This window comes from Homo sapiens, chromosome 15, assembly GCF_000001405.40.
Source record: "Homo sapiens chromosome 15, GRCh38.p14 Primary Assembly".
NCBI lineage: Eukaryota > Metazoa > Chordata > Mammalia > Primates > Hominidae > Homo > Homo sapiens.
Window position 1 is genome coordinate 69703827 of NC_000015.10, and position 18298 is coordinate 69722124.

The 18298-nt window shown below is 45.6% G+C and overlaps 1 annotated feature.

Moving 5' to 3' along the window:
- Positions 15954-16003: a silencer, noted in NCBI's record as "silent region_6601". NCBI's record gives its function as "represses an Ori minimal core promoter by ATAC-STARR-seq in GM12878 lymphoblastoid cells {active_cell/tissue: GM12878}" and the evidence as "EXISTENCE:reporter gene assay evidence [ECO:0000049][PMID:35858748]".

The following is an 18298-nucleotide window of genomic DNA, read 5'->3' on the forward strand; positions in this document are numbered from 1 at the left end:
TTTCAGACAACTCTTGCCAAATCTTAATTTTTCCAGTTTACAAGTAAGGGATTCTGACCATCTGTCTGCTGTCAACCGATGTTTGTTTGGATGAAGATTTTATTTTTTTCTCCCAATCTAGCACTCCTGTTCTTACAAGTAGTTTATTGGACTTCATAAATGTCAGCTTTTTGCAGGCATTTTGTAAGCAGCTTATGATTTAGTATTTAATCAAAATTGAGCAGTCAGCGTCTGTAATCAATCTGAAGCAGGAGTAACAATGAGATTGAAGCTTAAAATGCACCAGGACCACAATTTATGTCTCCCAACTATCGTTGTAAGAACTAAGTTTGCACTTGAAGGTCTGGGGTGGGGAGATGATGCAGGAAATAAACACTTATTGAGTACCTGTTGTGTGTCATTTTATGATTGTGTCAGTTATTAATTGCCAAAATAATACTGTGCAACAAACCATCCCAAACTCGGTGACTTAAAAAAATCAGTCTTTTTAGCTTGTTGGTCTGATGAGTCAGGTGGGAGGTCCTCTTGGCCTTGGCAGAGCTCTTTATGTGTTGGGGATGTGTTGGCTGCTGGGTGATCTTTGCTGGCCTCGTCTGGGACAACTAGGGCATATTGGCTCCATTCTGTGTGTTTCTCACCCTCCAGCAGGCTAGCTGAGGCATGTTCTCATGGCCATGGCAGAGTGCAAAAGTAAGCAAACCCAGTCTGTAAGCACTTTCTCAAATTTCTGCTTGTGTCACATTTGTTAACATCTCACTGGCCAAAGCAAGTGACATGGCCGAACTCTGAATCACAGAGTTCACGCAGGCTGCTCTAACAAAATTCCATAGACTAGGTAGCTTATAAACAACAAAAATTTATTTCTCAGAGATTTGGAGATTGGGAAGTCCAAGATCAAGGTGTGCAGACAGATTTGGTGTCTAGTGAGGACCCGCTTCTTTGTTCGTAGATGTTGCCTTCTCACTGTGTCTTCATGTGGCGAAATGGGCAAGGCAGTTCTCTGGGGCCTTTTTTCAAAAGGGTAGTAATCCCATTCATGGGATTACTCATGACCTAATCATCTCCCAAAGGCCCCATCTTCTAATACCATCATGTTGGTGTTTAGGTTTCAGCATATACGTTTTGGGAGAAGGCAAACATTCCACCCACAGCAGGGAGAAAGACTCTCTCTCTTCACAGCAGGAGGACTTACAAAGTCACAGGCAAAGTTCATGGGCACAGAGAAGGGTGAAGAATCAGGGCCCTAAAACAATCAGTCTATCACAGTGATGCTGGAAATCCCTGAAGGAGGTAATTATTATAACCGCCATCTCCAGACGGAGAAATTCAGAGATTAAACCATTTGCCCAAGGGTTCTCGACAGTTAGCAAAGAAGTCAGAATTCTTTCTTGGCCTAAATCTTAAGCAGTTTACTTTTGTCTCTCTGAATCTACTTTTCTCTAGACATAGGTAAAGCAAGAGTAGTGGGAGGCTCTCAGAAATCATCAATTCGCCACCCTCATTTTAAACATGGCCTCTAGAAGGGGAGCGAATTGCCTAAGGTCTTACAGGGGAATGGAAGGACACAGGAAGGCCCAGCTTTCAGGACAGCACTCTTCCTGCGCCCAGGAAGAGCCGTGCATCTCCAATCTTTCACAGTGCTGTCTTCTGCAGGAAGCTGCTGAGGACTTTGAACTCCCCCTCTCAGACTTGAATACAGTATCCACTAGGCAGGCTCTACAGAGACCTGGCTTGGTCATGGCAGCCTTAAGAAAATGTAGCAAAATTACTCTAAGGGGCTCCCAGATGGAGCAAGGATGGCAAAGGCCTTTGCTAGGTTTACTAGAGAGGCATATTGAATGTTGGCAGCCTTTTATGACATCATGATTAAATTCCTTCCTTGGTTGGTCCTATGAAATGAATTCATATGTTGAAGCCTAAACTCCCAATGTGACTGTATCTGGAGATAAGACCTTTAGGAATTAATTAAATTAAATGAAGTCATAAGGGTGGGGCCCTAATCCAACAGTACTGTGCCCTTATAACAGAGAAGAAGGCCGGGCATGGTGGCTCATGCCTGTAATCCCAGCACTTTGGGAGGCCAGGGTGGGTGGATCGCCTGAGGTCAGGAGTTCAAGACCAGCCTGGCCAACATGGTGAAACCCTGTCTCTACTAAAAATACAAAAAATTAGCTGGGCGTGGTGGCACATGCCTGTAATCCCAGCTACTAGGGAGGCTGAAGTGGGAGAATTGCTTGAACCTGGGAGGTGGAGGTTGCGGTGAGCCGAGATCATGCCATTGCACTCCAGTCTGGGCAACAAGAGTGAAACTCTGTCTCAAAAACAAAACAAAACAAAAACAATAAACAAACAAAAAACAGAGAAGAAAGAGATATTTCTGCCGTGTGAGAACATCACAAGAAGGTAACTGTTCGCAAGCCAGGAAGAGAGCCCTCACCAGAACCCAGCTGTGCTGACACCCATCATAATCTCAGACTTCTGGCCTCCAGAACTGTGAAAAAATATGTGTATGTTGTTTTAGCCACCATCCAGTCTATGGTATTTTGTTGTAGCAGCCTGAGCTGATTATGACAGATGAGGAATCAGATTATCAAAGGGTCATTTATGTATTCACTCAGGCATTCAACTTATATGTATTAAGTATATACCGTGTGCAAACTCTCCATGCTACAGTGGGGTGGGAGGCTGGGATTTTCCCTGGAGAGTGGAGGAGTGGCTTTTCATGTTGCCCTGATTTGCCCCCAGTTCTCCATCTAAGCTGCCAGCAAAGCCTTCACTATGTAGGTTTTTCCCTCCTGGCTTAATGAGCTACTGGCTTTGGAGGAGGCTGGGATGGCCACCTGACTGACTGTCCCTAGGGCAGTTGGCTGGAGTAGTCCGTTTTTATGCTGCTGATGAAGGCATACCTGAGGCTGGGAAGAAAAGAGGTTTAATTGGACTTACAGTTCCACATGGCTGGTGAGGTCTCATAATCGTAGCAGAGGGTGAAAGGCACTTTTACATGGTGGCAGCAAGAGAGAATGAGGAAGAAGCAAAAGGAAACCCCTGATAAACCAATTATATCATCTCATGAGACTTTTCACTGTCACAAGAATAGCATGGGAAAGACCAGCCCCCATGATTCAATTACCTCCCCCTGGGTGACTCCCACAACACATGGGAATTCTGGGAGATACAATTCAAGTTGAGATTTGAATGGGACACAGCCAAACCATATCATTCCCCCTGGCCCTCCAAACCTCATGTCCTCACATTTCAAAACCAATCCTGCCCTCCCAACAGTCCCCCAAACTCTTAACTCATTTCAGCATTAACCAAAAGGTCCACAAGTCCCAAGTCTCATCTGAGATAAGGCAAGTCCCTTCCACCTGTGAGCCTGTAAAATCAAAAGCAAGCTAGTTACTTCCTAGATACAATGAGGGTACAGATAATGGGTAAATACAGCTGTTCCAAATGGGAGAAATTGGCCAAAACAAAGGGGTTACAGGACCCATGCAAGTCCAAAATACAGCAGGGCAGTCAAATTTTAAAGCTCCAAAATGATCTCTTTTGACTCCAGGTCTTACATCCAGGTCACACTGACGCAAGAGGTAGGTTCTTATGGTTTTCAGCAGCTCTGCCTTTGTGGCTTTGCAGGGTACAGCCTCCCTCCCAGCTGCTTTCATGGGCTGGCATTGAGTGTCTGTGGTTTTTCCAGGTGTACGGTGCAAGCTGTTGGTGGATTCTGGGATCTGGAGGACAGTGGCCCTCTTCTTACAGCTCCAATAGGCAGTGCCCCAGTAGGGACTCCGTGTCGGGGCTCTGACCCCACATTTCCCTTCTGTACTGCCCTAGCAGAGGTTCTCCATGACGGCCCCATCCCTGCAGCAAACTTTTGCCTGGGCATCCAGGAGTTTCCATACATCTTCTGAAATCTAGGTGGAGGTTCCCAAACCTCAATTCTTGACTTCTGTGCACCTGCAAGCTCAACACCATGTGGGAGCTGCCAAGGCTTGGATCTTCCACCCTCCAAAGCCACAGCCTGAGCTGTATGTTTGACCCTTTCAGTCATGGCTGGAGTAGCTGGGACACAGGGCACCAAGGCCTTAGGCTGCACACAGCATGGTGACCCTGGGCCCAGTTCACAAAACCACTTTTTCCTCCTGGGCTTCTGGGCCTGTGATGGCAGGGGTTGCCGTGAAGGTCTCTGATATGGCCTGGAGACATTTTCCCCATGGTCTTGGAGATCATCATTAGGATCCTTGCTACTTATGCAAATTTCTGCAGCTGGCTTGAATTTCTCCCCAGAAAATGGGTTTTTCTTTTCTACTGCATCATCAGGCTGCAAATTTTCTGAACTTTATGCTCTGTTTCTCTTTTAAAATGGAATGCTTTTAACAGCACCCAAGTCACATTTTGAATGCTTTGCTACTTAGAAATTTGTACCACCAGATACCCTAAACCATCTCTCTCAAGTTCAAAGTTCCACAAATCTCTAGGGCAGGGGCAAAATGCTTCCAGTCTCTTTGCTAAAACATAACAAGAGTAACCTTTGCTCCAGTTCCCAACAAGCTCCTCATCTCCATCTGAGGCAGCTCCCAAAAGGTTCCTCATCTCCATCTGAGGCCACCTCAGCCTGGACCTTATTGTCCATATCACTATCAGGTTTTTGGTCAGTCATTCAACAAGTCTCTAGAAAGTTCCAAACTTTCTCACACATTTTACTATCTTCTTCTGAGGCCTCCAAAGTGTTCCAACCTCTGCCCGATACCCAGTTCCAAAGTTGCTTTCACATTTTCAGGTATCTTTTCAGCAACACCCCACTCCTGGTACCAATTTACTGTATTAGTCCGGTTTTATGCTGCTGATAAAGACATACCTGAGGCTGGGAAGAAAAAGAGGTTTAATTGGATTTACAGTTCCACATGGCTGGGGAGGTCTCATAATCATGGTGGAGGGTGAAAGGCACTTCTTACATGGCAGCAGCAAGAGAGAATGAGGAAGAAGCAAAAGCAGAAACCCCTGATAAACCCATCAGATCTCATGAGACTTAGTCACTATCATGAGAATAGCATGAGAAAGACCAGCCTCCATGATTCAAGTACCTCTGCCGGGTCCCTCCCACAACACTTGGGAATTCTGGGAGATGCAATTCAAGACAGAATTTGAATGGGGACACAGCCAAACCATATCAGGGCCTTTGGCAGAGACTGTTGTGCCTGCTGTTGCTCTCCTGTGGAGCTCCTCAATAGGTCATGTGGGCAGTGAGTTTTTTTTGGTACATCAAATATGATGTTTCCTAAAGACTTCAGAATCATGGATTCCAATGCCTGGTCAAGTGATCCTAACACCATAGCTTGATTTTTGTCTTGTTTTTCTATTCCCAGCTGAGTGTCATGGAAAATGCCCCAGGAGCTGGAAGGAAATTGCTAACCAAGAGCAGAAAACACTGACTGGCTAGACCAGCAGGGAGGGGCAGTGTCTGAAATGGATACAGGGAGGAAAAAGATGGTTCAGCTTCTTTTTTCTTTCTAGCTCAAAGGATCAGCCTCACTTTATAAAGTTTGGTAAAAATTTTCATGAGTGAAGCTCATATGATAAACAAAGGTATTCCCAATAATTGAACTTGCCAGTGCCCCCTGTGTCCACACCCTGTGGCTGTTAGGGCACCTCTGTAAGACTCAGTTTCCTTCTCTGTAAAATGGTGGGACACGGTTTATAATGTGGTTGCTATAAATGCCTACAGTCACACCCAAGAGGATGTCTTGCTCATGGATATTAAATTAATATTCTTTCATTGGCCCTTCCCTGCTAGACTCCCTCCCTACCTCTGTCTATCTGAATCTTCCTAGCACTTTCTTATCCCTTCAATAATTCAACATTAATGGTTTATTAAACAGAGCCTTCCTAATGGGCTGTTATTGACCTGATGCAGAGCAAATCTTCCACTGTGGGGTTGCCCAGGCCCTTGACAGGAGAGTAACTGATGGGAGAGGCTGACTGTGATGGTGTTCTCGGGCCAAGAGGGAATGGCCCAAGAGCAAATCCTAATACTGTTACCTTCATGCCTTGGAAAACCTCTTAACCTCCTGAAACCTCAATTTCTGCAAAATGGGATTCATATCACCTTTGCCATGAGGTTTCTATGAAATTGAATCAATGTAGGTGAACCTCCTAGCTCCTCACACCTCCCCACTCTGCGCCTAGGGCTCAGGCCAGCCCCAGCTCTGGGGAATGTGTTCAGTTATCCACCTGGTCTATCTGCGGGACTACAACACCCATGTATCTCCCTTGCTTGAAGTCTCACCATAACAGATTTGTTCCTTTGAGTCCACCTCCAGAAGTCTCTGTGGTAAAGAGAAGTGCCTTTGTCCACCACAAGCCCCTGGTGGCTGACGACTAAGAGGCAGGGCAGTGAGATGGAGGGAGCCCTGAGGGAGGGGTTGGGATTCCTGGCACTAGTCATGCTGACTTTCTTGCTACGTGACCTTGGATAAGTCACTTTCCATCTCCGGACTTTAGTTTCCTCAGATGTAAAATCAAAGGCTTAGGTTGTATGGAATCTAGGATTTGCTCCATCTGCAACCACAATTAGCTCAAAATATTAGTTTTGAGATTCCCAGTGGGGTTCCAAAGAAGGGGATCTCAGACATGTCAGTTTCGATGAGACATGTGGTGAAAGGGCAGAAGCAAGGGCCAGGGGCAGGCTGCCTTTGTACGGAACCAATGCTTACTCACACCTGTCACACTCGATGGCTCCAATCAAGGCTCCTCATTGGCTGGCTGATTCATTGATTCATTCATTTTCTTTATAGAGTTTTCTCTGACCACACCAGCCCAGAGTGTTCTCTCCCCTCTTTGACCCTCCATGGCCCTTCCTGTGACATCTCCTCCATTATCCTTTGGTGGCCTTGGCTATTCTGCAGATGGCCCTGTACCTGTCATACTTTCCCTCACTGTTCCCTCTTCTTGCAAGTCCCTTCCTCTCTATCTCCCAAACTCCTGGCCATCACTTCAGGGACTGCTCAAAAGTCACCTTCTCCAGGAAGTCTTCCTAGGCTTCTAATTCTAAACTCTCTCCCCTGTGCTCTCTCTATGCCTATTAATATCCTTCAATGTCTTCCCATTGACACAGAACTAGGCCAAAACCCTCAGTGTAGCTCCCCAGGCTCATCTCTCATCACTCTCTTCCCCCGCAACCCAGCTCTAGTTATGCCAGGGAGTCTCTCAACTCCACTCAGGTGCTTAAGTTGCTGCTTCTGCCTGGGGGCTCTATTCCTCACCCTGTTCCCATAGTGAGGATACTTAATGACTTTAAGACTCAGCTCATATCCCTGGTACTGGCAGGAGTTTATTGAACTCATCTTCTGGTCTGTATTCTCTGTTTCGTAGTGAGCCAGTCTTGTCCATGACTGCAGTGACACTGGCTTATTTGTCTCTGAAGTCACACTGCCTTGCCTATGACCTAGCACATAGTAGGTGCTCAGTAAACATAGCAGTGAAAGGAATCCTCGTATGTGTCCATCACAGCACCCAGGAGGGGCTGTTATTGACCTGCCCTGGACAGGTGTGTTGATGGGGCAGTGGATTAAAAGCTTTGTTTGCAGCAGCCCTGGGATTTGGAGTCTTGGAACAGGCTGATCTGGAGAAATGGCTCCTGTACTAAGTGTACATATGTATATGAGTGTGTGTGTGTGTGTGTGTGTGTGTGTGTGTGTGTGTCTTCTCTGTGGGCATGTATGCTGGGGTCTGGATATCTGCCATGCATGGGGGAAGATTGAGTTCCCCAGGATCTCATGTCTCTCCCCTGACTTCCAGAGGTTTCCTCCTGGGCACTAAACCACCAGCCCAACAACTCCAGAGTCAATACAGAGATGCTCTTGGAGGGCCCTCCACAGTCCTGTAAAAGAGACAACGTTCTTCAGAGGACCAGGGCATGGACTTGGAGCTGGATAGCCCTGTGCTCTGTAGCCTTGGACAGGTCTCTGATATCTTGGCTCCTCTGGGGTAATTACTTATGCAGGGCTTCTCTTGTGCCAGGTGTTGAGTGAAACCCCTTGCTTGGATTATCTGATTTAATCTTCATAAACACCTTAGGTTTTGCAGAAGGGAAACTGAGGCACAAAGCGGTTAGATTACTTGTCTTAGATCAAAAAACAGCTGAGTAAAGAGCAGGGGGCTGAAGTCAAGCAGTCTTAGCTCAAAGCGCATGTTCTTGAGTGCTGCACCCCACTCCTTTTCATAGAGTAAAGCCTGATGATACCTTCTTGTAGGATACTGAATTAATATAAATTAAATGGCATCTATGAAATGACTGGAACACTACAGAAATGCAATCTATGGAGGCTGATATAATCAATATCTATTTCAACCCTCCTCTCTTAAAGGTGAGGAAACTGAGGCATGGTTTATATACATGACTTGATAGTCAGCGTTGAGTATGGTAGTCTCAAAGTCATGTCTGCTGATGGCCAACCAGTTTCAGTTTTCATTATGCTGTGCCTTGTCAGGTAAAAATTAGAAAGAAAGGTAACCTAATATTTTGGAGGAATCAAGACTAAGAGAAAGGTGGGGTGGATAGGCACTTGAGGATATGTGAGGACTTTTCCCCATAACTTCCCAACCACCAACGATTTAGGTCCTAGGATCCCAATTTGCAATTTGCATATCTGGTCTCAGAGAAGTAGGTGACTTGCCTGAGGCCTTTGCATGATAAGAGAGGGCCATGATTTGAACTCTGGCCTGTCTAAGTTAGTGATTTTTTCCTACATTCCCAGCTCAAAAGTGGGGCCCAAGATTAAGCCCACAGTAGACACAATTGTGACTACAGATTGTGGTGGGGATGGGGCGGGCAGTCTCTTTATTGCTGCTCCTCCTTCATAGCATCAGGGGAGCTCCTGGGGCTGGGGAACAGGTACTCGGAGGGGCAGTGTGCCCTAGAGAAAGGGGCAGCTCTTGAAACAGGAAGTGGCTGGACTTTTTCTTGAGCACCAAGGAAGCCAAGAACAGCCATTTGGTCTTCATGTATCCAAGATAGCCTCTAGGGCCCCTTCTGCCCAGCAGGGTGACTTTCAAATGTCGGGAAGGTGATGTTGTACCCATAGGGTTGAGGGGTCATATGCCAGTGGCAGATAGAAAATATCTCAGAAATCTCAGGCTTTATTTTAAAAATGCGTGCAGAATTTAAGGAAATCTATTTCTTTCCCACAGCATATCCACGTGTGCATGTATGTTTGTGTGTGGGTATGCATAAGTGTGTATGCACATCGCAATTCTCTAACTAACCACTGTTCTAGGAAGAGCTGCTGTGCCTTTGGTATAGCTCCCTATACTCCCTGGAACCCTGCCATGTATTCATCACCCTCACTCTGGGATATGTGTACTACCCAGCAGGTCAAATACTTCCATTTCCTGAGCCTAGGGAGGAACTGGGCAAACAGTTAAGGGCTAAAGGGGCATAGTTCATAGTGAGGATCTGCTCAGTGTGGCTGAGCTGAAACAGGTCAGGAAGTTACAAGATTGCCTGATGTCACCCAGTAACTGTAAGACTAGAACTCTGGTCCCTAAGTCCTAGTTCAGCACACATTTCCACCTCCTCTGGGCCAGCTCCTGGGCAACAGAATATACTTGGTCATACTTCTTGCCTTGTCTGCCTACCTGGCACATTGCTGGGAAACAGGGCTTCTCTCTGGGAGCCCAACATTCTGGCAATCAAATATAAAGTATGACTTGTGCCCACCCCACTCCTCCCCACTACTGTGGCTGAAACGCTGTGATTCCCACACCTGGGCTCTCCCACTTGCCCTTTTGGATTTCTAGACAGGCAAGTGAGAAATATGTGATCTGTTTGGACTTGAGCAAGATATTTGGCAAGGTGTCTCATGCGCATCTCAAGGTGAAGAGTTAGGACTGGATGCTAGTGCAATTCAATAGATTAGGAACCGGTTAAAGGGCCATACCCAAATGGAATGGATAAATCTAACTACATCAGCCTAGATGAGGGTCTCTAGTGGCATGTCAAGGGACTCTGTCTTTGGCCATATCTTATTCAGCCCTTTTATCAATGACTGGAATGAAATAGGTGAGGGAAGGGTGAACATTTATTGAGAAACTCCTGTGTCAGCAACTATTGCCAATATTTTACAAAGCTTATTTATCTTATCCCTCACAGCCTGACTGTAAGAGAGGTTGTATTACCCTTTCACAGACCAGGAAATAAATATGTAACCAAGGGCAAGCAACTTGCCCAAGGTCTCACAGCAATTAATGCAATAAGATTTGGCATCCAGACTGGGATCTGAAGGCTGGGGCTCTGTGTCACATGTGGCACTAAACTGTCTTATCACCGAGGGGCAAGTGGGAAGGTCAGAGGGATGGACAATACCAGGAAGGTGAGAGGCAGGTCTGAAGAGGACTGAAATTAACACTGGGCCAAAATAACTGCACACCAAGATGCAAGGTGATAGAGACCTTTGCTCACACTGGGGCTCAGATGCTCACCAGACACACACAGGATGTGGGATACCTGGGTCAACAGCACAAGTGAAAAGGTGTTGGGTTTTTAGTTGACAGGAAGTTTCATATGAGTCAACGGTGGGATGTGGTAGCCAACAGAGCTAATGTCACCGTGGCCTCCACAAGTGGAGGTACAATGAACAGAGCGAGGGAGGAGCTACTCCTTAGTCAGCGTGTGCCCAGGAAATGGAGCTCAGACCTGGTGACCTCAGTGGAAGACAAGCATCGAAAACCCGCCGAGCTCTCGGAGGGCAGGGAAGAGGGGCTTCTTGCGGTTGCTGCTGCACATTCCTCTCCTCATTCTTTGTCATTCCCAAAATTACCAAAGCTTATTAATACCTTTCTGAGAAGTTATGGCCACTTCTTGATTTTTATGCTTTTGCCTTTCAAGCCCTAAGAATATGCTACTCATTCAGTTTTGAATTTTTATTAATGTAACTTGAGTGAATGCAGGGAGTCCTTGTGACCCAGTCTCTACATTAAGTTATAGTCAAAGAAGCACAATCCAATAACCAAAAGAAAGTAAGAGATTTTCAATCTTTATGCACATCTCTCAAAGGAATGAAAAGAATGAGACCTGCTTTTAGTTCTCTGTCTCATTTCCTTATGCTTCAAAAAACATCCACTCTACGAAACACTCCAAACTCTCCTATATCCAGTCAATCTCTTGTGCCATCTCCCTTTGGTTCTTCCATATCTCCATTATTTAGATGGGCTTAACATCTGTGTTTTCATTTTCTTTTCCTTTTTCTCCTCCTTGACTCCACTCTTCTTTAGTTTTCTTTCTAGTTTACTTCTGACCCAAATTCCTTTTTACAAAGGAGAAGTCAGGAACTGACCTAGCAAACCAGAATACTACCCCTTCCCTCCTGTCTCTGCAACACTGCCCATCTCTCCCCATCCTCCCCATCCTGGGAACCTGGATGGCCAAGATGGAACTCTTTTTTGAGAGCTGGGGGAGGAGAAATGGAGCAGGCAAGGAAGACAATTTTGGTGGTGGGTGGTAGCAAACATGGTGTTGGAAAAGATGGTGGGGAGGCTGGGAACACTCTACATACCAACCTTGTCCTCATCACATTAGCATGTGGGCACTGTGGGTGGAAGAGCCTGGCCACTCGTGCGTGACAAACTCCAACACAGACTGCCATGCAAGAGCTACTTGTTGTAGTGAATGGCAGCAAGGAGAGGCCCCTCCTTACCCCTGAGATCCCCATTGCCATGGATGGTTCATTTTCATTACCTTGCTGGTCTCCTTTTCTTTGCAGAGTTGACTGTTTCTGTAATAGCATACCTTGAGATCTACTCAGAAATGGCAGACTGGGAGAGATGGCACTCCCACTTATTCCACGTGCTCTCCTACACTTCCCAGCCTCCTAGGTGAGGGCTGTGTGGCTTGTTCTGACCAACGCAGGCACACCTTGGGGATATGCAGGTTCCATTCCAGACCACCCCCAACAAAGTGAGTATCTCAATAAAACAAGTCACACATTTTTTTTTGGTTTCCCAGTGCACATAAGTTATGTTTACACTGTACTATACACTATTAAGTGAGCAATAACATTATTCCTAAAAAAAGTACATACCTTAATTAAAAATACTATATTGCTAAAAAATACAAATGATCATCTGAGGCTTCAGTGAGTTGTAATCTTTTTGTTGATGGAGGGTCTTGCCTTGAGGCTGATGGCTGCTGACTAATCAGGATGGTGGTTGCCAAAGACTGAGGTGGTGATTTCTTTTCTTTTTTTTTTTTTTTTTTTTGAGACGGAGTCTCACTCTGTCACCCAGGTTGGAGTGCAGTGGCACAATCTCGGCTCACTGCAAGCTCCACCTCCTGGGTTCACGCCATTCTCCTGCCTCAGCCTCCCAAGTAGCTGGGACTACAGGCACCCGCCACCATGCCCGGCTAATTTTTTTGTATTTTTTTTAGTAGAGACGGGGTTTCACCGTGTTAGCCAGGATGGTCTTGATCTCCTGAGCTCGTGATCTGCCCGCCTCAGCCTCTCAAACTGCTGGGATTACAGGCGTGAGCCACTGAATCTGGCCAGTAATTTCTTAAAAGAAGATAACAATGAATTTTATCACATTGATGGACTCTTTCTGTCAAGAAAGTTTTCTCTGTAGCATGCGATGCTGTTTGATAGCATTTTATCCACAGTAGAACTTCTTTAAAAATTGTAGTCCATCCTCTCAAATCCTGCCATTGCCTTATCGACTTATGCAATGTTCTAAGTCCTTTGTTTTCATTTCAACAGTGCTCACAGCATCTTTACTAGGAGTAGATGCCATCTCAAGAGACCACTTTCTTTGCTCATTCATAAGAAGTAACTCCTCATCTGTTCAAGTTTTATCATGAGATTGCAGTAGTTCATTCCCATCTTCGGGCTTCACTTCGAATTTTAGTTGTCTTGCTATTTCCAGCACATCTGCAGTTACTTCCTCCACTGAAATCTTGCACCTCTATAATTCATCCTTTAAGATTACAACCAACTTCTTCCAAACTCCTGTCCACATTGATATTTTGACTTCCTCCCATGAGTCATGAATATTCTTAATGGCATTTCGAATGGTGAATTGTTTCCAGAATATTTTCAATCAACTTTGCCCAGATCCATTAGAGGAATCACTATCTATGGCAGCTATGATCCTATGAAATGTATTTCTTAAATAATAAGACCTAAAAGTGAAAATGTCTCCTTAATCAATGGACTATAGAATGATGTGTTAGCAGGCATAAAAACAACATTAATCTCCTTGTCCATCTCTATCAGAGCTCTTGCGTGACCAGGTGCATTGTCAATGAGCAGTGATATTTTGAAAGCAGAAATCTTTTTTCTTCTGCAGTAGGTCTAAATAGTGGGCTTTAAATATTCAGTAAACCATGCTGTAAACAGATGTGCTATGATCCAGGCATTGTTGTTCCAGTGATAGAGCATAGGCAGGGTAGATTTAGCATAATTATTTGGAGTTTTGGAATGATAAAAGAGTATTGGCTAATGTAAAGTCACCAGTTGCATTAGCCCCTAACAAGAGAGTCCCCTTGTTATTTGAAGCTTTGAAGCCAGGCATTGACTTCACTCTGGCTAGGAAAACCCTAGATGGCACCGTCTTCCAATAGAAGGCTGTTACATCTATGCTGAAAATCTGTTTTTTAGTGTAGCCACCTTCATTAATGATTTTAGCTAGATCTTCTGGATAACTTGCTGTAGTTCTACATTATAGCACTTGGTGCTTCACCTTGCACTTTGATGTTCTGGAGATGGCTTCTCTCCTTAAACCCCATGAACCAACCTCTGCTAGCTTCCAACATTTATTCTGCAGCTTCCTCAGCTCCCTCAACCTTCATAGAATTGAAAGAGTTAGAGCATTGCTCTGAATTAGACTTTGGCTTAAGAGAATGTAGTGGCTGGTTTGATCTTTCATCCAGACCACCCAAACTTTCTCCATATCAGCAATAAGGCTGTTTCACTTTCTTATGACTCATGTGTTCACTGGAGTAGCACTTTTCATTTCCTTCAAGAACTTTTCCTGGCAGGACTTGATGGCTCACGCCTGTAATCCCAGCACTTTGGGAGGCCGAGGGGGGTGGATCACGAGGTCTGGAGTTTGAGACCAGCCTGGCCAACATGGTGAAACACCATCTCTACTAAAAATACAAAAATTAGCTGGGCATGGTGACAGGCACCTGTAATCCCAGCTACTTGGGAGGCTGAGGCAGGAGAATCGCTTGAACCCAGGAGGCGGAGGTTGCAGTGAGCTGAGATCGTGCCATTGCACTCCAGCCTGGGCAACAAGAACAAAAGTCTGTGTCAAACAAAACAAAACACAAAACAGAACTTTTCCTTTGCATTCCCAACTTGGCTAACTGGTGTGAGAGGCCTGGCTTTCAACTTCTCTTGGCTTTTGACATGCCTTCCTCACAAGCTTCATCATTTTTAGCTTTTGATTGAAAGTGAGAGATGTATAACTCATTTTTCCACTTAAATACTTAGAGGCCATTTTATGGTTATTAATTGGGCTAATTTCCATATTTTTGTGTTTCAAGGAATGGGGAGGCCGAAGGAGAGGGAGAGAGAGAGAGAGATTGGCCAGTAGGAGCAGTCAGAACACACAAAACATTTATTAATTAAGTTCGCTGTCTTACATGGGTGCAGTTCATGGTGCCCCAAAATAATTACAATAGTAGTATCAAAGATCACTGATCACACATCACCATAACAGATGTAATAATAATGAAAAAGTCTGAAATATTGCAAGAATTACCAAAATGTGACACAGATACAGGAAGTGTGCACATTCTATTGGAAAAACGGCACCAACAGACTTGCTCTACACAGGGTTGCAACACATTTTCAATTTGTGAAAAACACACAATATCTGTGAAGTGCATTAGGCAAAGTGCAATAAAATCAGGTATGCCTGTAGAATGAGGCTCATGCAGTTAAGAGCTGGTGTGGCTCCTTCTTGTCTTTCATGGGGTGATGACTTGGAGGCCCTGCATGCCCAATGGCCTGCAGAATGGAGGAGGGCCCCCCACTCCATGGCATTCTCCATGAGCAAGAAATAAACTTTCATTATTTTAAATCTCTGAGATTTCAAGGTTGTTACTTCAGCATAGCCTGGCCTATTCTAGCGAATACCCAGCATGTTGGAGTTCACTGAGTAATTGCTGCTCTTGAGTTCTTTAACACCATGAAGGAAAAAGCTGCCTCTTGAGCCACCCAGGGCAGCTGATTGACACTTTCCCTCACTCTCATCATCCAGCCCAGATGGCACTTCCTGTTTGGTAACACCTCACGTGGGCTCCTTCGTCCCCCACCAACTCTGCCAGTCACCATCCTACACAGTCAAATGTGCACAGTATTAGAGGTTTGCCAAGAACACATCCTTGTGTCTGCCAAGGAGCGTCTGTTTGAGGAAGAACATTCTAACAGAGAATGTTCAGAGACAAAATGCTGGCTGTGGGAGACAGTCAAATCTTTGTCTCTATGATGAGCAAGTGGAGGCTGGATGGCCACTGTGGATAGGGGGCAGGGGTCCTGAAGATGGGATGCCAGTCTCAAATGGGGAGGGGTTGGGCTGGGAGGGGCAGGATGAACAGGATGATTTTTAAGTCCCTTCCAACCCGGAGAGTCCCCACCTTACTGCCTAACTCAGTATTTTTTTTTGAAAGTGCATGAATGAATACATTTCAGTCACAAAGAAAGTAAAGGACATATGAAATAAAATAGCCTGACTTAATGAGCAAATAAGAATTATAACACAGATTCTTTCTGAAAGGTGTAGCCTCATGAGATCAATGTTCTCAGCCCTCATGAGGCTGACGGATGGTGAAGAGTGGTCAGGAAGGCATGTGACGCATATCCGTAATTTACACGCCAGCCACAAAGAGGGCTGAGCTCAGGGAGGAGTCAGAGCCTTGAGACAGGCTGAAGCCATCATGATAACAGCCCCTCACAAGGACACCTGGTGCTTTGTCATGCACAAAGTGCTCCCCCTGACATCCTGAGTGCTCAGAAACTATTTTCTCTGAGCTTTTAATCATAGATCATAGATTATCCTATATCTCTGAGCTCTTCTTATCATAGCCTCAGGAGAGAAGAACTGCTATTCCTATTTTATAGATGGGTAGGCAGTTTTCAGCAATTTCCCCAAGATCACATAGTGAGTAATGGGGAGATCCAAGACTTGAACCCAGATCCTGTTACACAAAGTGGTGGGTTTTAAAATAAGAGAATACACTTACTCCAGGCACTGGAAGCTGAAATTGCAATTAGTTCACATGCTCCCAGGTTCCTGAGAACTTCCACTTTTGTGTGTAATGTTGATTGTGGACAGATATTATAGGGACAGGCTGACTCTGAACTGCCTTGAAGACAAGAAGGATTTTCTTGGGAAAAGCAATGGACTGGGAGACAGAGAGTCCTGCAATACAGGCCCTGAATCTTTTTCTGACCCACTTCATTACCAAGAAACCTCAGTTTCCTCATCTGAAAGTATGAGGAAAGATGTTGATCTGGTCTACCATGAAGAATTTCTGTGAGGACCCAATGCGAGGATGGGGTGCACATATTTTGAAAACCAATAAAAAGCTGTAAAGAACTATAAAAAGCTGGGGTTCTTGTTTCAATTAAGAATGCATTTTGCTAGGCCAGGCACAGTGGCTCACACCCGTAAATACCAGCACCTTGGGAGGTCAAGGTGGGTGGACCACCTGAGGTCAGGATTTCAAGACCAGCCTGAACAATATGGTGAAATGCTGTCTCTACTAAAAATACAAAAATTACGTGGGTGTGGTGGTGGGCACCTGTAGTCCCAGCTACTCGGGAGGCTGAGACAGGAGAATTGCTTGAACTTAGGAGGTGGAGGTTGCAGTGAGCTGAGATTGCACCACTGCACTCCTGCCTTGGCGACAGAGTGAGAATGCATTTAGCTGCAAGTAACAGAGCAGCCAGCTACAGTGGTTTTAACAGATGATGCTCTGATTTTCCTATGACATAAGAAGTGCAGGGTGGGTAGTACAGGGCAGGAGAGGATGATTTAACAATGTTAATGGGGGCCTAGCCCTTTTCCCCTCTGTTCAAATTCCATCCTCACACATGCTACCTTATATGCACAAGATGGATACTGCCCCTCCAGGCTTTACGTTCCAGTTGCAGGTGGGAAAAAGAAGGGAGAAGGAGGAAGAGTTGGTACCTACATTACGAATGCAAAAGTTTTCTTAGAAATCCAATAACTGTAATATTGGCCAGAACTGTAATCAAATGGTCACCCTCTAGGTACAAGGGAGGCTGGAAGAATGAACATTTTTGGCTGGGCACACCACTAAACAAATCCAGGGTTTTGATGGAAAGGAAGGGGTGGGGATGGATTGCAGGTGACAGCTGGTGGTGCCTACCACAAGCTCCAATACCAAGATGGGCACTGAATTCACAGGGATCTTTTAAATTTAGTTTCTGGATTTGAGTGAAAGCAAATTGGGTTGCCTCATCCTTCGAAGGAAAAGTGGATCCATAGTATTCTACTGTCAGAAAGGGAAATAGAGTCACCTTGAAGACAAGAGGTGAGAGAGTGCTGCAGGTCTGGAGGGCCAAGTGGATAGAAGCTCAGCATGACCTCCCTCTCTCTGTCTCCCCTTTGTTCACTTTCATTAGTCCCGTTCACTTGGGCTGGGAGAGCTGGATCCGGGGAGCTCATTAATAGCCTCTGGGTTTGTGTGTGTCTCCACCCGAAGAAGTCTAACCACAGACTTCCTCTTGACTCTTGGCAACAGGGAGAAAACAAAACCACAGCAGCTTTCATTGCTGAAAAAGACAAAACTGACTCGTTTGCTTAATAAGCCCAGACGGAGGAACTTTATTTCTGGGAGGAAGTGCTGAAGACTCCGGTACAGGCCGGGTGCGGTGGCTCACGCCTGTAATCCTAGCGCTTTGAGAGGCCAAGGCGGATGGATCACGAGGTCAGGAGATCGAGACCATCCTGGCTAACACAGTGAAACCCCGTCTCTACTAAAAATACAAAAACATTAGCCAGGCATGGTGGCGGGCGTCTGTAGTCCCAGCTACTCGGGAGGCTGAGGCAGGAGAATGGCGTGAACCCGGGAGGCGGAGCTTGCAGTGAGCCGAGATCGGGCCACTGCACTCCAGCCTGGGCGACAGAGCGAGACTCGGTCCCAAAAAAAAAAAAAGACTTCAGTACAAGGAGTCGTGGTTGCGCCGTGAAATTGCCAGACTCTGCGATGAGACATCCTGGGTTGACAGTTTAGAGGTTGAGAGATTGGTGGGAGGAGGCCACGAGTCCAGGG